At 41.1% G+C, this 22,096-nt stretch overlaps 1 protein-coding gene across 3 annotated transcripts, besides 4 other annotated features; it reads left to right on the top strand.

The window, feature by feature from the left end:
- The first annotated feature begins 301 nt into the window (after positions 1–301).
- PLAC8L1 (PLAC8 like 1) lies at positions 302–21,566 on the top strand. Of its 3 annotated transcripts, XM_011537571.3 has the most exons (5): positions 2,107–2,193; positions 3,994–4,081; positions 7,587–7,723; positions 20,282–20,418; positions 21,307–21,566. In XM_011537571.3, exons 2-5 carry the CDS (start codon positions 4,044–4,046, stop codon positions 21,445–21,447), a joined length of 453 nt encoding a protein of 150 aa, XP_011535873.1. In that variant the 5' UTR covers positions 2,107–2,193; positions 3,994–4,043; the 3' UTR covers positions 21,448–21,566. The 3 variants fall into 3 exon arrangements, with proteins under 3 accessions (NP_001025040.1, XP_011535873.1, XP_005268438.1); NM_001029869.3 differs by lacking the exons at positions 2,107–2,193; positions 3,994–4,081 and adding an exon at positions 302–1,686; XM_005268381.4 differs by lacking the exon at positions 3,994–4,081.
- Positions 2,007–2,207: a silencer, noted in NCBI's record as "peak5518 fragment used in MPRA reporter construct". NCBI's record gives its function as "represses an SCP1 promoter by STARR-seq MPRAs in K562 erythroleukemia cells {active_cell/tissue: K562}" and the evidence as "EXISTENCE:reporter gene assay evidence [ECO:0000049][PMID:32103011]".
- Positions 3,471–3,640: an enhancer, noted in NCBI's record as "experimental_81180 CRE fragment used in MPRA reporter constructs". NCBI's record gives its function as "activates a minimal promoter by MPRAs in K562 erythroleukemia cells, with activity observed for the non-introgressed 5:145481887 variant allele {active_cell/tissue: K562}" and the evidence as "EXISTENCE:reporter gene assay evidence [ECO:0000049][PMID:34662402]".
- Positions 3,792–4,350: an enhancer, noted in NCBI's record as "OCT4-NANOG hESC enhancer chr5:145481092-145481650 (GRCh37/hg19 assembly coordinates)". NCBI's record gives its function as "activates a minimal SCP1, AML or CMV promoter by ChIP-STARR-seq in primed H9 embryonic stem cells {active_cell/tissue: H9 hESC(primed)}" and the evidence as "EXISTENCE:reporter gene assay evidence [ECO:0000049][PMID:30033119]".
- Positions 12,959–13,128: an enhancer, noted in NCBI's record as "experimental_81119 CRE fragment used in MPRA reporter constructs". NCBI's record gives its function as "activates a minimal promoter by MPRAs in K562 erythroleukemia cells, with activity observed for the non-introgressed 5:145472399 variant allele {active_cell/tissue: K562}" and the evidence as "EXISTENCE:reporter gene assay evidence [ECO:0000049][PMID:34662402]".
- Positions 21,567–22,096: the final 530 nt, after the last annotated feature.

Raw genomic sequence — 22,096 nt, 5'->3', positions numbered from 1 at the left:
TGATATGTTGTTATGCTGGGGCTATGCAAAATGGTGATATTCTAATGCTATTATTTCTTTTTCATAAATATTTGGCATTCTTTTATAAAGCACATGCCTTTTCTATTCTTTTCATTTTATTTTTAAATGAAAAAGCTGTGTAGCATGTGGATTAGTCACTTCATACAATAGACGTTTGATTAGAAAAGTTGGGCGCAAATGAAATGTAAAAATATGGAGTCATAGCTTATATGTACCATGGTGGTTTACTCTTCAAAGGAATCTTACTGTAAATCTTTTTTTTTTTTTTTTTTTTTTTTTGCAAAGCTAGTAATCACCTCTTAATTTCTGTTATTCTTATAAACCTGAATTTTCATGTAGGGCACATTTATTCAACAAATTATTGAGTGCTTTTTATGTGCCAGACACTGTGGTCAGCACTTGGAATAGAGTAGTAAGCAGAAAAAACATACCTGTCCTTAATGTAGGGTACATCCTTACTGTTAAGAAGACAATGACAGTTGCCCAGAACCCCATGATTGAAGGCAGTTATGAAGCTATGTCTGAGGAATCTTGATTTGGAAGGTATTATAGGCTTTTCCTAACAACCTGGTTCAATAAATGCTTTGAAGTTCAGAACCCTAAGCAACCATTCTCTATGGGTCTGATGAAAAGAATATATGATATAATTGGCAGTATCCTCCTGATGTCTTTCTAATGTAATGTCAAATTATGATTGCAGAGCCCTTTCCTCAACGTGAAATTTTGCCTAATTTTTTGTCTTAGGATATTTCCTAATATTTCTAGGGTCCACACCTCCATAAGACATGTGCCAGAGGCATGATTCAGAGGCTCCTGAGACCTTGAGGATTCAGAGCTGTTGTGAGGACATCACCAGGCAAGCCTTGCTTCAGTTACTAGATTCCGTCTGGACTGGGTAGGAAAGAAATGCCACTTTCCTGGCATTATCAATGAAGTTAATGGAAGAGCAGAGAATTTCTAGAAGTTCTGAAAAGGCTTTGAGGCTTGTGACAATCTACCATAGCTCAAACTTGAGGAGACCACCTTTCATAAGATGGATTCAAATACAATACCTGCGCTGAAAGACTTTTTTTTGCTCCTGCTTTTGGGTTGGCTATGGGACTTGCATCATCTGGCTGAATTGGACCAGCAGTTCAGGGGATGAAGAGAGGTCTCTGCTGCTTCTCAGTCACATGGCATGGCAGAAATTTTCAGCCTTCTGAATCTTCCAAGGAACGGTCAAGTGGCACTTAGCTAGATAAATGTTTACTAGAGGCATCTCTTAAAGAGTTTTCCACCAAAGATAAGTCTTTTTCTTCTATTTACTCTATACTCCAGCAATATCTCCCTACAGATTAGTAAGATGAATGTGTCCACAGTTAGGTGTATACCTGTTTTTAAAGAAAAAAGATGTCTGTTAGTTACACTGCTATGACCTCAGGTTCCAGAATATTAAGGGAACATTCTTTCAAGAGATGTTTCACTTTGGACTAATCCGAAGTTTAGAAACCAGCTTATTGCCAAAGGGAAAAAGGATAGCCCAAAGGACAAGAAAACACTTCTCACTATGAATTGGTTTGGAAGTAACTTCTTCAGGTGTCCTGAGGATCTTTCCTTACTCAACATATACTCACCTCTGTTGTCACACATGTCATCTGAAGATGAACATTTTATTTCCAACTTGAGGTAGGGAATAGGGTGAGTTTTTCCCCTAGCTTTTGCTCTTTAGTTGGACTATCGAATCAACCTCTACTTATAAGGAACCAGGGAAAAGAAAACTGGGCTTGGGAAGAAAGTGGTTGCTATCTTTTCTCCATGCAAACTTGAAAAGAGGGCAACTGATTTGTTCCTTCTGGCCTTTCTTGGCTGGTGACAAGAAAAGGGCTGGCTTGGGTGAAATGGTATCTCTTTATTCTTAAAATGTTGAACCCTGACCAAGTGGAACTTTATTTTTAGAGACTGCCAATCATTTCCACCCTTTTGAAATGAAAACTCAAGGGTTTTGGCTTCAGCTGAGTTTGAAATAATCAAGGAGGCCTAGGTACAAGGCAGAATGATTTCACAATACTCCAAGTGTGATTACGGAAGAGTGACATGTAACACCCCAGGCTGAAGAACCAGGCATGTGGGAGACATGGTAGGGCTTGTGCTAGAAGAGGAAGAGGAATGGAGTGAGGTCAAAAAGAGGGAAAAGTATGTATCTCATCCATCAAACTTTAACAGGAGTTAGCCTCCTGCCTCCTGAGTTAAAGCCTCCCTCACCTTCTGAGGGTTAGGATCACCAACCATCTTGGTTTGCCTGGAACTGTACTGGTTTTAGCACTAAAACTTCCCTATCCTGGGAAAACCCTTGGTCCTGGGCCAACTGGAATGGTTGGTTACCCTGACTGAATCTTTTTTTTTTAAGAGATGGGGTCTGAGGCCAGGCGCAGTGGCTCATACCTGTAATCTTAGCACTTTGGGAGGCTGAGGTGGGCAGATCACCTGAAGTCAGGAATTCGAGACCAGCCTAGCCAACATGGTGAAACCCTGTCTTTACTAAAAATACAGAATTAGCTGGGCGTGGTGGTGCATGCCTGTAATCCCAGCTATTAGGGGGGCTGAGGCAGGAGAATTGGTTGAACCCTGGAGGCAGAGATTGCAGTGAACCAAGATCACACTACTGCACTCCAGCCTGGGCGACAAAAGCAAAACTCTGTCTCAAAAAAAGAAAGAAGAGATGGGAGTCTTGCTCATGGATTTAAGCAATCCTGTCACCTCAGTCTCCCTTGTGGCTGGGATTATAGGTGTGCATCACCGTGCCTGGCCATCACTCTGACTGAATTTTAAGGCATTTGGGTAGCACATATGACAACTGAAAACCTGGTCCAGTTCTCCTTTCTCCTTCCTTTGTTTCTGAGAAAAGTATACAGAATGCCCTAGAGCATACACAGGATCCTGAAGTTAGAATAATAACAGTGGCCATCGACTTCATGCATACTACGTGTCAGGTACATACATGATCTTGTTTAATACTCTGGCAACTGAGGAGCTAGGATATTTTAAATCCAATTTTATGGAGGAGGAGGCCAGAGCTGAGGGTTGTGACAAGTTGTATTTTCTAAGATGTCACAACTAGAATGTGACTATTTGAACTTTTTTGTGTCTGAAATGAAAATGTTTGCTTTTTCTACTAAATGAAGAACTTATGGAATTTGATAGGTAAATGAGCATCTTCTCTGGTTTAGCAGAGCTTTGTGGCCATAAGCTTCATCCACTGTTTGCATACTCATTCCTGTTCTTCATGGTAGCAGAAGATTCCCTGGGCGTAATATGTAGAAAAGCTGTCTAGGAAGCTACAGGAGCTACTTGAGTCTGATACCTGTAGCAGCCCCTGAATAATCTTTCAGTTGTTAATGAACTACTGAGATCCTGGTACATGGAAGGTACTCAGTGAAAGTTAGCTATGGTTGTTATTTCAATTACAACACATGAGCAATCATTTTGAACTGAAATGTCTCAGCCAATGTATGTCAATTCAAACATTTTAATATAAAAATAACTGAAGACTCAGGGTATTAAGGAAATAAATAACAAATCTATCCTTGAGTTCAAAATTAGACAAACAGCCTAGGCAATAAAGCGAGACCCCTATCTCTACAAAAAATTAAAAAAAATTAGCTGGGCATGGTGGCATGTGCCTGTGGTCCCAGCTACTTGAGAGGCTGAGGCAGGAGGATCTCTTGAGCCCAGGAGTTCGAGGTTGCAGAGAGCTGTGATCATGCCGCTCAACTCCAGCCTGGGTGACAGAGCAAGACCCTGTTTCAAAAAAAGACAAAAGACAAAAAAAAAAAAAAAAGGGTAAACACAGAAAAAAAACATTTTCTTTTTCCATTAAGGAAAAGCTATCCTGTTAGTTATTTGATTTGGAATGGATAGAATACAGCATTCCTTGCTATAATAAAAGGTGTCACGCACATAATACTGAGTTAGAAGCAGACATTCTATTCTTAGGCTGCCCTAAGAAATCCCTCTACTAAAAGACGATTGAAGCTCTTAGCCTAATGATGGAAGCCCCAGCTTGTGGCCATCACATTGAGAGGTAAATGCCTTTGTATGGAGGAATGCAGAAAGCTTTTAGGCTACCCTCTGCTTGTATTTCATCAATTCATGCCCAAGACTTGTGGCTTTACTAGAGAATGAAACACAGTAAAGTTCACATAAATTTGTAGCTAGCCTTGAGGAGGACTCAAATATAACAGAAGAGACAAGAGAATCTATTTGGTCCAGCCCAAGAAATACTTATCATGCACCCATGAGGTTTCAGGGTAGTGTGCGGGATAGTGGGTATACAGGGAGGAACAGCATATGCCCCCAACCTCAGGGAGCACACATGGAGGCAGAGGAAATAAGACATAAAAGTAGTTTTTTCAGGGCCAATTTCAAATCAGCAAAGATGTCTTAATCTGTTTCGGTTGCCGTAGCAAAATACCATAGGCTGTGTGGCTTAAACAAGAGAAATAATTTTCTCACAGTTCTGGAGAATGGAAGTCTGAGATTAGAGTGCCAGCCCAATTGGGCTCTGGCGAGGACTTTCTTCCTGGTTTGCAGTGTGCTCACGTGGCCTTTCTCTGTACGTGCATGTAGAGAGACAGCAATTTCTCTTATAAGGCCACCTATTTTTTTTTTTTTTTTTTTTTTTTGAGACAGGGTCTTGCTCTGTTGCCTAGGCTGGAATGCAGTGGTGCAATCTCGGCTCATTGCAGCCTCTTCCTCCCAGGCTCAAGCAATCCTTCTACGTTAGCTTCCCAAGTAGCTGAGACCACAGGTGCGTGCCACCATGCCTGGCTTTTTGTATTTTTAGTTGAGATAGGATTTCACCATGTTGCTCAGGCTGGTCTCGAGCTCCTGAGCTCAAGCAATCCACCTGCCTTAGCCTCCCAAAGTGCTGGGATTATAGGCATGAGCCACTGTGCCTGGCCTAAGGCCACCAAACTTACTGAATCAGGATCTCACCCCTACAACTTCACTTAACTTTCATTACTTCCTAAGTGCCCTGTCTCCAAATACATTCACACTGGGGGCTAGAACTTCAACATATATGCGTTTTGGGGGATGCGATGCAGTCTACAGAAATGGGCCCTAACTTACATCATAACAAACATATTAAAATATACCCATACATTTGTTATATCCATATATATATATTTTTCTGTACAATACTTAAAATAATTTTTATAATTTTGTTTTTGAGATTATTTGACTATGAATAACTCATTTATGTCTAGTTGCTGCTTCTTAGCAACCATTCATATTTGGGAATTTTTGCAAAATGAGAACTTACAAATTTTCAAAATGTTAAATATTTGTGAATTCTAAATTTGGCAATTAATAAAATTGACATGCTAGATTTTTGTGTTTAATTGAGCATTAATTTATTTGCAGTTTTTATATTTTGGAGCCAATTTTTTTTTTCCATGGTAGGTTCCTAGAAAGCTCATTAAACCATGAGAACTGTCTACAATGCCTAATGGATAAAAGGGCTGGGGGTATTTCATAGTTCCACTTCATACTTCCAGACAGGTCGCTTCCAACCCTAACCCCTCTTCCAAGCTCTGGTACATCATTTCCAGCCGTTTGTTAAGTATTGTCTTGATTCTCACTGACATTGAGACTAAATATGTTCCAAACATCCCTACCTCTTATTCTCCTATTTTTCTACTTTTTGCCGTCTCTCTTGCGTTGACATCGCCACCTAGCTAGTGGGAGACTACTGCAGTCACCATCATTAGTGTCCAAATCTACTGGTATCAGGTTTCAGAATGGCATGAGTGCTTAAAAATTACCTGAAAGGCTTGTTTTAATATTAATTTCTGTACCTCATTCTTGGAAACCTGTGCAGTTGGTCCGAGGGAAGGCTTGGGAATTTCTTTTTTTAACAAGCTAATGTGCTATCATCTTTGGGAAGGTGTAGACATGATCCGTATTGGTGGGATGAAAAAGAGATGTGGATCTTAATAAGATCCACAATGCAACTTATACTATAATACCATGAAATTCCATTGGCTTTATTGCCAGAAATCAGAGGTAATGGGCTCCACAGCTGTTTCCAAGATGCCCCCAGGATGTTGTCTTAAGGGTAGTTAGGAATGTTCTGCTTTGGCCTCCAGGCCATGTGTCCCAGGTGCTGAATTTTGGCAACTATTACTGCAACAACTTTTTTTTTTTTTTTTTTTTTTTTGAGACGGAGTCTTGCTCTGTCACCCAGGCTGGGGTGCAGTGGCGTGATCTCAGCTCGCTGCAACCTCTGCCTCCTGAGTTCAAGCGATTCTCCCGCCTCAGCCTCCTGAATAGCTGTGACTACAAGTGCACACCACCACGCCCAGCTAATTTTTGTATTTTTAGTAGAGATGGGGTTTCACCATGTTGGTCAGGCGGTCTTGAACTCCTGACCTCATGATCCACCCACCTCAGGCTCCCAAAGTGCTGGGATTACAGGCATGAGCCGCCGCACCCTACTGCAGCAACTGTTATAGGAAGAAATGCTGCTGTCTCTTATTTTGTCTCAACTATGAGGCAGGCTCTTTCTTTAATTCTTCATAGCACATCAGAAAACAGGTGCAAAATCTTAATGAGGCTTGCTGAAAGAGAAGCACAAAACAGAATAATTACCACACTGCACAGGCTCAGATTCATTCTAGGGCCCTTCTACCCCACTCTTGACCCACCCCTTCTATGAGGCCAAGTGCAACTTACCCTTCACTATGGAAATCACTCCAGACATCCCCATGGTTGAAATTCAGGCACAACTGATTTTCATCCTCAGAAAGAGAAGTTTTTCCTTACCTCGCTTTTGAAGCCCAGCCACCAGGTTTTCATTTTCTAATTCAGAATGATTGATGATAGGAATATTCATCCCTTTCTGGGAAAATCAACCCAAAGTATACTTTGTGGCACCACTAGGTCAATCATACAGTAATTTGATATCAAGACATATTCTGAAGTCTGGGCAATTCACTTAAATGATACCCATGTCAACTTCAACAGCCTAGTCCAGGTTTCAGTCTGCCCACTCAGTCCAGTTCCTTCTCAGTATCACTTCAGCAAAGGTTCAAAATCCTTGGGATGCAGCTCACTCAGAGTTACTTTGTCACACATCCCCTGGGCACAGTAAACGAATCAGATGTCCTTCAATAGACACAATAATCTCATGAGGTAGTTTTTTCATCAGAACCAACGGAAAGCAGAGAGGTAAAGTCATTTAACCAAGGTCAAGCCTCCAGGAATGCCTGGATTTGAACTGAGGCCTCGATTCCAAATTTGTGAATTTAACTATTTGAAACACTGAGGAAGTAGACTGGACATTGAGCTTGAATTTGTGTGTCAGGATTTAGAACAATAATTCCATTAATAGAGATGAGGCAAAAAGCCAGAAGAGAAGGTATGATGGAGGGGGAGGAGGGAGGGAGATGGCAAAGTCGATTTGGGCTATGAGCCCCTTGGCATCATTGGGTCCCTATCTCTTCTTTATGGTTCTGACTTGGCTTAATGGTTATTGTTCTGAAACACCTTTGTTTCCAAGTTAATCATCATCCTTGACTCTCCAGAGGCCATGTACCAGCCAGCGCTGTGGTGAAGCAGCCTGTTCGGGGAGCCAGTGGCAGGACGACAATCACAGCAATTGTCCAGACTGGCGGGGGCTGGAGCACCGGTCTCTTCAGTGTCTGCAGAGATAGGAGAATTTGTAAGTTTTTCCTCCTTATTTAAGTTCCTCCTTACTATTTTCTTTTCCAGGACATCAGTGAGTGGAAAACCTACAGCAGGCACAAGGACAGAAATTAAATGTTTTCAGAATAACTGGACTAATCTTTCAGTGACTCAAATGTACTCCTTGTCTGGAAAAATCTTGCTTTTCAGAGATATGGATGTTTTATAGAATAAGTGGTGCCTTCAAAGATTTCTAAATGACAGACTCCACTGTTGGCAAAGTGCACAAAATGAGCTTTCTTATCCACTGCTGGTGGGAGTGTAAATTGGTACAACTCTTCTGGGGGATGGTTTAGCAATCCATATAGAAAGAACCTCAGCTGTTGCATAGCTTTTGACCCAGTAATTACATTTTTAGGAGTTTAAGGAAATAAATCATGTGCAAAGATTTAGCAGGAACATTAAATTTTGCAGCATTAGTTATTACAGCAGAAACCTGGAACAACTTAAATGTTCAACAAGAGGAATCCACACAATGAATTATTATACAGCCACGAAAAGTCATATTGTAGAATAATATTTAATGAGATGAAAAGATGATTTGGATACATTTTTACATTAAAGAAACACATTGCAAAACTGTGCACAGTAGATACCGTGTTTTTGGAGAGAGGAAAACATTTCTTAAATGTCTGGAAGAATACAAATACAAATATTTATAGCAGATGTCTCCAGATGGGAGGTTAATGGATAGTGTTTATTTCCTTTTTGCTTTTCTTTTTTCAATTGTCTTGGAAGAATATGTAGTACTCCTATCAACAAGAACAATCACAAAAAGAAACTCCCTTCCTTGATTGAAATCTTTTCAGACACTGGTTTGACACTTTTCAGCTATAAAGAGGGGCAAATAACACTGTCTTCTGGCTACATGATTCCCCCCTGGGCTTAGAGTTCAAAGCTCATTGATTCTATTTTTACCTGAGGACATTCTGACCCATCTTTGGTACCACATGTCAGGATCCCCTTCCAGGACCTGATGGTCTTGCCCTAGGGAGCAATTGGATCACAGAGTCTCTCTGGGAGGAGGGGGAGGGTATGTGTGATGGATGAGGGTTAGTCTCTTAAGTTCCAAATCCAACAGACCCTGGGTAAAATATTTTTGAAGGATATATCAGCCTTCTAGGAAGATCTGAATTTGTCCTAATGCCTCACAGGACATATCAACCAGAGAACTCTGAGCAAGTCCTCATTCAGCTGAGAGTCTTCCCCGTGACCCATAGTTTGGCAAGTCTCTTCCTGTCGCGGCTACCCATGTGGATTTCTGACCAGACAATTATGGAAGCTGTTCTCTGGTTCTCTCAGAATTCTTCCTGATTCTCTGCTCTTTTCATGACTTTGGTAGTCACCCAGTACTAAGGTACAGAGAGCTAGAGTAGCCATGCACAAATGTGCAGATCTGGCCCCAGAATAGTAAGTGGACCATTTTCCTTTCATAGCTTATGGTTGGGGGTTGGGGGAACTTCAGTGCACTTTTAACTAGGGCAAAGCCTGGAATATGGTGTAGTGGTTAGGAGAACAGGTTCATATCACATATACACCGTGAATCCTAACTCTGGCTCTTACTGGCCATGTAACGTTGAACAAGTCCTTTGGGTCTTCATTTTTCCACCTCTAAAATGAAGATAATAAAGGTGCCTACCTCAAGGTTTACTGTAAAGATGAAAACAGAAGATGTATAGAACCCACTCTTAACACTGGTTTGGGCATAACTGGATCAGTTAGGGATTTAGGGTTGCAAACTATACTAGGTTGAGTAGTGTCACTTTAAAATCCATGTTCACCTGGAACCTCTGAATGTGACTTCATTTGGAAATAGAGTCTTTACAATGTAGTCAAATTAAAATAAAGTCAATCCTTATTTATAAGAAGAGAGAGATTTGGACACAGACACACAAAGGAGAAGGCCATGTGAAGACAGAAGCAGAGACTGGAGTGACACATCTGCAAGCCAAGGAGCACCAACGATTGCCAGCAACCCCCAGAAGCCAGGAAAGAGACAGGGAACAGATTTTTCCCTCGGACCCCCCAAAAGGAACCAACTCTGCCAACACTTTGGTTTCACACCTCTAACCTCCAGAATTCTCCCATGAGAAAATAATTCCTGTTGTTTTAAGCCACCCAGTTTGTGGTATTTTGCTATGGCAGCCCTAGGAAACGAATATATAAGCCAACATTGAATTTCATTAGAAGGCCATGGGATAGCTCCCGGAATCAATGAGCCAGGTAAAAGCCAAGCCCAGAAAGGGACAAGACGCACTGTTATTAGGTGCTAGCTGACAGTCCAATCAGCTTTAAATGTTTTTATCCTTGTGTTATCCCCATCTGAGAATTGATGTTTCAGTGGAAGCAGCTCAATTTGCTCAGCTTGTATCATGTGCCTACTTCTTGACCAGGCCCACGGTTCTCTGAATGATAGTCCTACCAATATGGTGCATAATAAGGAAGGGATAATTTCCTAAATTTACTATTGGGGTGCAGTTACCAGGAAAATTCAAAAAAATATCATTACAATGCACTTAGTAAATCTTAGCTATTAATACTACTGTTATTTAAAAAAAATTATCCTTCAGCATGTTGAGAGCAAAGAGTAGATGAGTCAGAAGGCTTATATTAGATTCTGCAGAATGATTTCTACATAATCCTAAGAGCACCTAGAAAAGCTGGTCAAGGAATTCTCACTCCTCAGCCATACTGTTTGCCTTAAGCATTACTTCACTGCTCACCTCTGCTCTCAACCCGCATCAACGCTCAGGACACCAACCACACTTCCTGAGGATTCCCTGGTTGTCCACTTGAGAGCCCATTCTAGTGACAAGGGGAGGAAAAAGGATATGGGGAGAAATACAATATTCTTTACAATTGGCATGAATTCTGAATGAAAGGCCATGGATAGGGTTCAAGGTGATCTCGAATGTTGTGTTGTAATTTTTGTTCCCTAGTTGTGTTTCCATGTTGTGACTGCTCATAGTGTTTTAAATTAATTGTCTTAGAAGAAAACTTAAAGGTAATATATTACTGTGTACACTCATTATCTGCACTGTAATTCTGAGAATGCTGCTGGAGTGTGAGTGCTATGAGTCTTGGATTTCTTCCCCTCCTTGTTTAGAAAGACTTTTAATTGGGGATTGTTTTATCCACAAAGTTTTATTTAGAGTAAATCACTGTGTCCATTGTTTTGACAGACTTGGGAACAAAGGGAGAGCTTCTTCTCATGACTGTTCCATGCCAGATTCCCATCCTGGGACATTTTTCCATCAAACGCTGAGAATTATTGCTACAATTTGTCATCCATTAAGCAAAGGGTACATTATGAACAGCAGTGATTTCCATTTCTTTTTGACATTTTGCTTCTTCATTTTATTGTAATTATGTATTTTAAGTGCTTCCTTCTTCCCACCTCTGTGCTTTCATCTGAATTCACACTGCACTGGGATTAGCAAATGGGTGTCTCTGTGTCCTTTGAAGATAGGGTAGCTGAGAGCTCAGATGTGAAGATTAAACTGAGGTGAAGTAAGTGGCTGCTAAGTGGCATTGTGAGTGAAAGACTGGGCAATCCAGCTTTGGGAATGTTTGTGATGTGGCCTCAGAGAAGGTTTATGTGGAAGGTGTAATCAACTCATAATTCAGCTCATGATTCAACCATGTTTACTGAGTTTCTTCCCATGTATAGGCACAAGGTAGGTGATACAGACATATTAGTGAATAGGTCAGAGACAGTGTCTTAGAGGAGATGGATAATAAACAAATCTATAGGCTGGGTGCGGTGGCTTCACACCTGTAATCCCAGCACTTTGGGAGGCCGAGGTGGGCAGATTACCTGTCAGGAGTTTGAGACCAACCATAGCCAACATGGTGAAACCCCATCTCTACTGAAAATACAAAATTAGCTGGGCATGGTGGTACATGCCTGTAATCCCAGCTACACCGGAGGCTGAGGCAGGAGAATCTCTTGAACCCAGGAGGCAGAGGTTGCAGTGAGTCGAGATTGCACAACTGCACTCCAGCCTGGGCGACAGAGTGAAACTGTCTCAAAACAAAACAAAACAAAAGAAACAAAACAACAACAACAACAAAAATCTATAAACAAAATAATTGCAGTTGTGATAAATGCCATGAAGAAATTAAACAGAGTGTTATGAAAGGAAATTATAGGAGAATGGGGTAAAGGACAGTCTCTCTGAGGAGCTGACTTCAGCTGTTACCTGAAAGATAGGAAAGAGTCAGCCGCTCAAACAGCTTCCCTGTAGCGAGCATTGTAAGCACCAGGCAGTAAAGAGACTGATGTGTACTAGGAACTAGTAGATACCCAAGGTAGGAAGAAGAAAGCAAGCCAGAATTTTCCCTGGTTTTCTGGAAAAGGAAGGAGGCATGAGAAGGCATTGGACTGGGATTCATGTCCCCACACTGCATCTCAGGTAACCTGTAGACTCCCTGAAGCAGGGACCAGTTTTCTTGTTCAATGCTCTGACGCCCAGCAGAGCATTTAGACCATAGGAGGCACTTAAACATATTTGCTGGATAACACATAAATGAATTTTAACTTGTATTCTCATTTGCTTCTTTGTCAAATTTAATTGAAAAACTCAGAGCCTCAGAGTTAGAAGGGATATTGCGAGTCAGCTTGTCTGGTCCCCCATCTGTTTGCGTAAATCCCCTCTGCAACGTGCGTGGCAAAGACCCGACAGCCTCGACTTTCTGAGCACTTCCAGGGAGGAGGGCTCATTTCCTTTGGACCCAGTTCAGCACCTTAAAAAATTATTTTGTAAAGACTGCCATGCACATAATGCAGAATTCAAAAGTACCTACCTTTTTTGTATATGAAAAGCAAGTAGTACTCCATCCTTGCTCTCTATCCACCTGGTTTTTCTCTTCAGAGTCAAATACCTTTACTTGAGTCCACATATAGTCTATATACTTATACAGATATAGAAATCTAAAAAGTTAAAATAGATGTTTAATTATAAAAGTATTATATAATAATTATAAAAAAGAAAAATGCAAAAAACTATAAAAGAAAAAACAGCATCCTGTAATCCCAGCTCTTGGAGATAAATATTGTTAATATTTTGGTATCTATCCTTCTAGATGTTTTGCTTATATGTGTGTGTGTGTGTATAATTTATACAAGTGGTAGCACTGTAAACACATACTGTCTAGTACCTTTGGCTTATTTTAATTTAATAATATATCTCACATCACATTCTTCTGAAAGAAGTATAAAAGGAAAAAAAAACATACCTAGGTGATCAGACCATATCAACATATCTGGAGCTAATTTCTTAAAATTTGGCAAATTCGGCCGGGTGCGGTGGCTCTCGCCTGTAATCCCAGCACTTTGGGAGGCCAAGGCGGGCAGATCACAAGGTCAGGAGTTTGAGACCAGCCTGGCCAACATGGTGAAACCCCGTCTCTACTAAAAATACAAAAATTAGGCGTGGTGGCGGGCTCCTGCAATCCCAGCTGCCTGGGATGCTGAAGCAGGAAAATCGCTTGAACCCGGGAGGTGGAAGTTGCAGTCAGCTGAGATCATGCTACTGCACTTCAGCCTGGGTGACAGAGTGAGACTCTGTCTCAAAAAAAAAAAAAAAAAAAAAAAATCTGCAAAGATTCCATTGTATGAATGTACCATAGCTTATTTATCTGAAAATCTCCATTGATGGACCTTTATATGGTTTCCAGACTTTGCCATTCAAACCACTGCTATATGAATATCACTGCACAGATGTCATTTTGCATGTGTGTGAGTATATCTGTTGGATAACCACTAAAGAGTAAACCTGCTGGTCAAATAGTATGTGCTATTTTAAATATTGATAGATGTTGCCAAATGGCTTTCCATTTGGAAGTTGTACTAATTTACACTCCCACCAGCAATGTATGAATATGACCTATTTCTTTTCTGAGCATCTCATTGTTAGAAAGTTCTGCCTCTTTTGCAATAATTGATCTGAAATATGCCTTGCTGCAATTGCCACCCACCTTTCCTACTTCTAATCTCGGGGCTCCACACTCTGGTTTTGTGTAGGTTTCTTTTCTTTCTCTTGACTCTCCTATGAGTTAGAAGGATGAATAATGAGCAACATTCCACACATGCGGGTGGAACCCATCTCAGAGAACAGACCTGAATCATTTATACTGTGCGTGCTTACATAACCACCAGGCCTTTAGGTGTAAGAGGAAGAAGCTAAATTTATCCCTTTTGAACCTGAGCTTCTTAAAAAAAAAAGACAAAATTTTTTTTCACTAGTAACAATACATTTACCTTGCAAAAAATGAAACATTACAGAAAAGGGAATCATTTCCCTTCTTTTAATTGTATTTATTTATTTATAGAGGCAGGGTCTTACTTGTTGCCCAGGCTGAAGTACAGTGGCATGATTACAGCTCATTGTAACCGCGGACTTCTAGGTTCAAGTGATCCTCTTGCCTCAGCCTCTAGAGTGGCTAGGACTACTGGTGCATGCCACCATGCCTGGCTAATTTTTTAATTTTTTTTTTTGTAGAGATGGAGTCTCGCTATGTTTCCCAGGCTGGTCTCAAACTCCTGGCCTCAAGTGATCCTCCTGCCTTGGCCTCCCAAAGTGTTGAAATTTTAGAGAATTTCCTTCCTGATCTTTTTCTCTATATTTCTCTATATTTATAATATAAATGGTATTATGTATTATGCTGTGCATATCATTATGCAGTTTGATTTTTTTAAACTCAAAATTTGCCTTAGAGATTTAACTCTGTTGGTTCTTAATTGATCTTTTGTGTTCCACAGTATGTATAGTTATACCATTATAGTTTATTTGTACTTCAGCCTGTTAATATACATTCATGTTGTTTCAAATTTAAAGTTACAAGTAATGCTGCAATGACTATTCTTGTACCTGCTCTTTGTGAGCATGTATAAGCATTGATACAGGGTGGACACTGATAAGTGGAATCACTAGGTCCTAGATGATGTAACATTGTCATAGATTCAGCAAAATTGACTTCCAAAGTGGCTGTGCTAATTTCTACTTCCATCTGTGTGTGGAGTACTTATTTCTTCATGGCTCCCCACAATATATCATATTAACAATTTTTTTTTTTCGAGACAGAGTTTTGCTCTTGTCGCTCGGGCTGGAGTGCAGTGGTGCGATCTCTACTCACTGCAACCTGGGCCTCCTGGGTTCAAGCAATTCTCCTGCCTCAGCCTCCCGAGTAGCTGGGATTACAGACACCTGCCACCACGCCCGGCTAATTTTTTGTATTTTTAGCAGAGACGGGATTTCACCATGTTGGGCAGGCTGGTCTTGAGCTCCTGACCTCAGGTGATCTGCCCTCTTCAGCCTCCCAAAGTGCTGGGATTACAGGTGTGAGCTACTGCGCCCGGCCTGACAAATTTTTAAAAATTGGCATTATCATGGATAATAAGTAGTTTCTGGATGTCTTAATATTCATTTCCAATGACATTGAGCAAATTTTTGCCTTCGTTACTGGCCATTTGTATTTGCTCTTAAGTGGATTACCTGCCCATATCCTATGCCCATTTTCTTCTTTTGTTTAATCTTCTATATGTTGATTTGCAGGAGTTTTGTTTTGTTTTGTTTTGTTTTGTTTTGTTTTGTTTTTTGAGACGGTCTCATTCCTTTGCCCAGCCTGGAGTGCAGTGGCCCGATCTCGGCTCATGGCAACCTCCACCTCTCAAGCTCAAGGGATTCTTCCACCTCAACCTCCTGAGTAGCTGGGATTACAGGCACACGCCACTACCACCTGGCTAATTTTTGTATTTTTTGTGGAGATGGGGTTTCATCATGTTGGCCAGGCTGGTCTCAAACTCCTGACCTCAAATGATCCACCCGCCTCGGCCTCTCAAAGTGTTGGGATTACAGGCATGAGCCACTGTGCCCGGCCAAGAGTTCTTTATATATTCTAGATACTTATCCTTGGCCTGTGATATGTGTTGCAAAGTTTTTTCCTAGAGAGTCTTTGGAACAAAGGATCCCATCATCCTGATTTTGTGCATCCCTTCTTGGGGTGTGACCTGACAGTGTTTCCATATCCCACTGCATTCCTCACAGTACAGAGCAGCAATACTTGATGAAAGGATCTTCCTTAAAGAAGTTGAGGCTGGGCGCTGTGGCTCAGCCTGTAATCCCAGCACTTCTGGAGGCTGAAGCGGGCGGATCACCTGAGGTCAGGAGTTTGAGACCAGCCTGGCCAACGTGGTGAAACCCTGTCTATACTAAAAATACAAAAATTAGCCGGGCATGGTGGCAGGCACATGTATTCCCAGCTACTCGAGAGGCTGAGGCAGGAGAATCTCTTGAACCCAGGAGGTGGAGGTTGCAGTGAGCTGAGATTGTGCCATTGAACTCCAGCCTGGGCGACAGAGGAAGACTTCATCTCAAAAAAAAAAAAAAAAGAAGAAGAAGTTGCCTGACTTAAGACTACCCCACAGGAATAAATGTAAAGTGGTGATAGGATACTGTCTACTGTCTAGCACACCAATCCACAACTACTGTGGCATAATAGATAAATACATAAAACATGAGAACATATAGTAATATGTATAGTAGTTCAGACTTTGGGACCAGACTACCTGAGTTCAATCTCTCCTCTGCCTTTCACTGATGATTGTGTGAATTTGGACAAATTACTCAAATCTTCTGGGCCTCAGTATCCTCATCTGTAAAATGGGGATAAGAAGAATACCTATAGGATTGTTGCAAAGATTAAATGAGTTAATAAGTGCAGAGTGATTTTAACAGGGCTTGGTACATAGTGAACTCTGTATAAATATGAGCTATTATATAATAAAAATTCATTCTTCATAGTGTTTTTTAAAAATCACATCTGATTTCTTCTTCAAAGTACAGTAATTGAATTTGAGGTATGTTTCTTTCAGCATCTAGTACTACCTCCTAATGAACACTTAGATAACATGATTATATGACAAAAAGATTAAAAATAAAAACAAAAGCGTGTGTTTTTTTTAAAAAGCATATGAGTCATAAAAATATGGTGCAAGAGTTCAAATGCACTTAAACAATTTCTGTACAATATACTTATTGAGAATGGTGGGCATTTCTCTTTATCAGTTAAAGAGGTGCAGCTGAGGCAATTGTGTAAACACTATTTATTAGTCACTTAGTTTGCCAGCTTTACAATTAAGCAAGTTTTGATTAATTTTTTTTATTTACAGGGATTTACACTATTTTGTAATCCACTCATAAAGTGAGAGTTGATTGATTTTTATGTGCCATTGATTTCAAAATCCCCTAATTCAAGGTTGCATACAGTGTGAGTACTCTGTACTCTCAGTAAATTTACTGGACCATTTGCTGTCCTCTAAGCTGTTCATACCAGGTATCCGGGCTGGGTGGGGCCTGCTGATCTACTTGAGATTACTTTTTAAATGTAGGGTGAAATATCCCAGTCTTATTTGAGACTGAATTCAGAGTTTGCTTTGGGCCAAGAGATGTCTACAGTAGATGATTGAGTGACTATCTTGAGACTTCCAAATAGATGAAATAGATGTTCCTTCTCTGCCCCCATCCCTCATGCCCTTTGTATGCTTGTGCTACTTCATCCACTATTTGAAGCTGAAGTCCAGAGTCCTGGAGCCTTGGAGAGTCTAAGATACAGAATTCCTAGTTTTTTGCCTCTTTGTCACTGAATTTGGGAGTGGGACTTTGAAGTGCTCACTGTGGGAGAACAAGGGGTAGCCAGAGACAGACCATTGTCAGGAAGTTCTTCAGTGTGCTGATGTCATGGTATGTGAGCCTTCGTGTCTGGTGCACTAAAAGACAATGGTGGCTACTTCACACTCACAAGAGTAACTAAAATAAAAATGACTGACAATAGCAAATGTTGGTGAGGATGTGGAGCAATCAGAACTCTTGGCCAGAAGTGGTGTTTCATGCTTGTAATCCCAGTACTTTGGGAAGCCAAAATGGGCGGATTGCTTGAGCCCAGGAGTTCAAGCAACATACGGAGACCCCATCTCTACAAAAGATAAGAAAAAAAGTTAGCCAGGTGATATGGTTTGGATCTGTGTCCCCACAAATCTCATAGGATTGTAATCACCCATGTTGGAGATGGGGCCTGGGATTACTATATGGTACCAAGGGGGGATGGTGCCAAACCATTAGAAGCTGCCCCTGTGATCCAATCACAATTGGATCCATCCCCCCTTGGTACTGTATAGTGAGTAAGTTCTTATGAGATCTGGTTGTTTAAAAGTGTGTAGCACCTCCGCCTTTGCTCTCTTCCTCTTTCCCTGGCCATGTAAGACAAGCCTGCTTCTCCTTAGCCTTCCACCATGTTTGTAAGTTTTCTGAGGCCTCCCCAGAAGCAGAAGCTGCTATGCTTACTGTACAGCTTGCCAAACTGTAAGGCAATGAAACCTCCTTTCTTTATAAAGTACCCATTCTCAGGTATTTCTTTATAGCAATGTGAGAACAGACTAATACACTGGATGTGGTGGTGCATGCCTGTAGTCTCAACTACTCAGGAGGCTGAGATGAAAGGATGAGAGGATCGCTTGAGCCTGGGAGGTTGAGGCTGCAGTGAGCCATGATCGTGCCACCGCACCCCAGCCTGAGTGACAGAGCGACACCCTGTCTCAAAATCAATCAATACATAAATAAATAAACAAAATATAACTGTCATGCATTGCTGATGGGAGTTTAAAATGGTACAAATACTTTGGAGAACTGTCTGTCATTTCTTGCAAAGTTAAACGTATATCTACCCCATAACCTAGCAATTCCCCTTCCAGGTATCCATCCAAATGAAATAAAAACATACGCCTGTGTAAACACTTACAGATGAATCTTCATAGCAGTCAAATTCATAATAGCAAAAAAATGAAATAATCAAATGTTTATCAATGGGAGAATGGAGAAACAATTTGTGGAATATTCATACAATGGAATATGGCTCAACTCTAAAAAAAGAGACAGATTCACACAACAGCATAGATGCATCAAAAACATGATGTTGAACGAAAGAAGCCAGATACAAAAGCAAACATGATTTCATTAATATGAAGTTGAAGAAGAGGCAAAACTCATCTAGAAGAATAGATATTGGAACAATGGTTGCCTCTAGTGGGCAACGGGAGGGCTGGGATTGATTGGAAAAGGACACAGGAGCTCTGGGGTGAGAGCAATGTTCCACACATTTGGTTACTTGGGTGTATGTGATTGTTGACACTCATCCCACAGAACACTGATGGCCTGTGCATTTTCTTATATATAAATTATGCCTCCATAAAATATTTATTTAAAAAATTTTCAGAGATTATGGTTAGCTTGGAATTTTTGCTGTTTCACAGTCCTAATTATTTGCATTCATCAGAGTTGTCATCTTTTATGATGCTAGATGACATAACATCTTAACTGTATATCAGGGGTTCTTAACCTGTGGTCTGTTAATAATTTTCAGTGGATACATGAACTCCGTGAAATTGAATGCACAATTTTGCATGTCTATGTGCATGTAGTTTTCTTTTCCCTTGTGGACTGAGTTCATAGCTATCATTGTACTCTCAAAATGGTCTGTGACCCAAAACATATTTAGAATAGAACCTCTGTGTTGGAAGGTTCATGCAGAATATGTAGAAAACAATATCAGTAAAGATGAGTGAACTAATGACAAATTGTTTACAGTTGATGTTCAAGGAACCAAGCCCCTAATAATCTGCAGATTAAAACTGGCAGATGTCAGTGGCTCCAAGACACTAACATAAATTTGAATAACTTGGTCTGAGAAATAGAATAAAGCCCTGATAAGAATAGGAGGCAGAATTAGTGTACTATAAAAGACCTTTCGGCCGGGCGCGGTGGCTCACGCCTGTAATCCCAGCACTTTGGGAGGCCGAGGCGGGCGGATCACGAGGTCAGGAGATCGAGACCATCCCGGCTAAAACGGTGAAACCCCGTCTCTACTAAAAATACAAAAAATTAGCCGGGCGTAGTGGCGGGCGCCTGTAGTCCCAGCTACTTGGGAGGCTGACGCAGGAGAATGGCATGAACCCGGGAGGCGGAGCTTGCAGTGAGCCGAGATCCCGCCACTGCACTCCAGCCTGGGCGACAGAGCGAGACTCCGTCTCAAAAAAAAAAAAAAAAAAAAAAAGACCTTTCAATTACACTTATAGAAATAGATGTCTGTTATTCAAAAATATCCTGTATACCATGTTTATTTTAAATATTGAAATTAGATAGATGAACATAATGAAAGCAACAGTTATGATTCAAATGTAAAAAAATTATTTGATGCTTTTTCTCTTAACAGGAACAAAACAATTACCATAGTCAATGCTAACAGAATTGTATCAGGTTCATCTTTGCCAGTGTTTAACAAAAGAAGGCAATTTTGATGTGGCTCAGTTATGGCAATTTTCATACAATGAGTTTTGGGAATTGGTTATTTATTCTCAGTCTGATAGCAGGGAGACAGTGCAGCATTAAACTGGTGGCATAATGTTGTAAATATTCTTTGAGATGTGAAGTTGCTCCAAGAAATCTGAGAACCTTGGCTTTTTGGATGTGGTTATTGACAGGTTTCTGTGGTCTATTCTGTCCTATGTGTCTTGAGTGTGACATCGCCAGGCATTATGGAGAGTGTCTTTGTTGGCCGTTGTTACCTGGGTCCACCTTTGCACTGAGAATTGGCACCAGGGAGAGACATAAAATACAGGTAAGTGTGTTTGAAGGTATACGTGAACCCGAATCTGTATGAAAACCTAGATGCCTTCCAAACCTGTGATTTTCCAAATAAAAGAAGGGTGGGTGAGGATGTTGAAACATACCATGCTTAGTGGGAAACTTTGAGAAAGGAAATACATTTAAAAATTTTATTCTTTACCAGGAAATATAAGTTAACTAAAATACCATATTATTTTAGTAGAGATGGGGTTTTGCCATGTTGGCCAGGCTGTTCTCAAAGTCCTGCCCTCAAGTGATCCGCCCACCTTGGGCTCCCAAAGTGCTGCGATTACAGGTGTGAGCCACCATGCCTGGCCCAGACTGATGTATTTTTAAGTGGAAAAAAAAAAAAGTAAGGCACAGAAGTATGGAACTATTTTAAAAGACTATATATGTATATGTTTATGTAGACATAGAATGTATCTGGAAGTGGTTACAAGAAACTGGTAACAATGATTACTTCCAGGCAGGCAACTGGATGGCTGGGGACAGCTGGAGAGCGGGATTTACTTTTTGCTTCCTATCCCTTCTTACACTGAAATTTTAGGCCATGTTCACTTATTACCTACTCCAAAGAAATAAATAATTATAAATATTAGGTTCTAAGAGAAAGAACCAAGAAGTTGATAGAGAAATCAGTGGTTCAATTATAAAGGCCCATATCAGAGGTCCTAAGGGCAGCGCTCTGAATCGCAGGCATTGATTAGCAATTCAGCTGCTTGGCACTTATGCAACTTAGTGTCCCTGGGCATTGGCTTAAGGATGTTGGTGAACCTTGGAAGCTGTGGTTGAAGGGCCAGGAGGTAACATTGTACAGGACCCTGGGGAAGAAAAATGAGCCTGTGTGACTACAACAGAACAGATTCTGGTCTTGCCCTAGGGCACACTGTGTGAAGACTGGCTGGCGGTGCACTGCTGTTGGGCTTTTTCCATCTGCCAGGTGGCCCGGGAACTCAAGATGAGGACCTCCCAAGTCTATGAAATCTGTGCAGTCCCAATGACTAAGGACACCCTGGTTTGACAGCAAGATAACTCCTCCTCCTTACTCCCCAACACCCTCCTCTCAAACCTCTCAGTGGAACAATTGCTTTTTCCTAAGTTTTTACTGAAATGGTATGAAAATAAATGATTTCCCCCCTACTGTCTCTACTGTTCTTCTTTCTTTACACATTTCCCTGTTGATGACTTTATCATTTGTCTGAATTTGCTATTCCAGTCCAGCCATATAAAGCAGATCTAGAGGTGAGTTTTCTTGTTTGTTTATTTTTTGAGACAGAGTCTTGGCTCTGTCACCCAGGCTGGAGTGCAGTGGCGCCATCTTGCCTTCAAGCAATTCTCCTGTCTCAGCCTCCTGAGTAGCTGGGATTACAGGCATGTACCAACACACCTGGCTAATTTTTGCATTTTTAGTAGAGACGGCATTTCACCATGTTGGCCAGGCTGGACTTGAACTCCTGACCTCAGGTGATCCACACGCCTCAGCCTCTCAAAGTGCTGGGATTACAGACGTGAGCCATCGCGCCCAGCCTAGAGGTGAGTTTTGTGCCTCCCCTCCCCTGCTGGAGTTTTGGAAGCTTGCTTTTCCCCCTCCAGATTTCTACTGCCATCCTTTCATGAGGGATGTCTGAGAAGCTGGAGGAGTTGTTATGTGGCTTTCTTATGTCAAGCCA

The sequence above is a fragment of the Homo sapiens genome, chromosome 5 (genome assembly GCF_000001405.40).
Source record: "Homo sapiens chromosome 5, GRCh38.p14 Primary Assembly".
Classification (NCBI taxonomy): Eukaryota; Metazoa; Chordata; class Mammalia; order Primates; family Hominidae; genus Homo; species Homo sapiens.
Note: the sequence above shows the minus strand (reverse complement) of the source record. Positions and strands in the feature narration are given on the sequence as shown.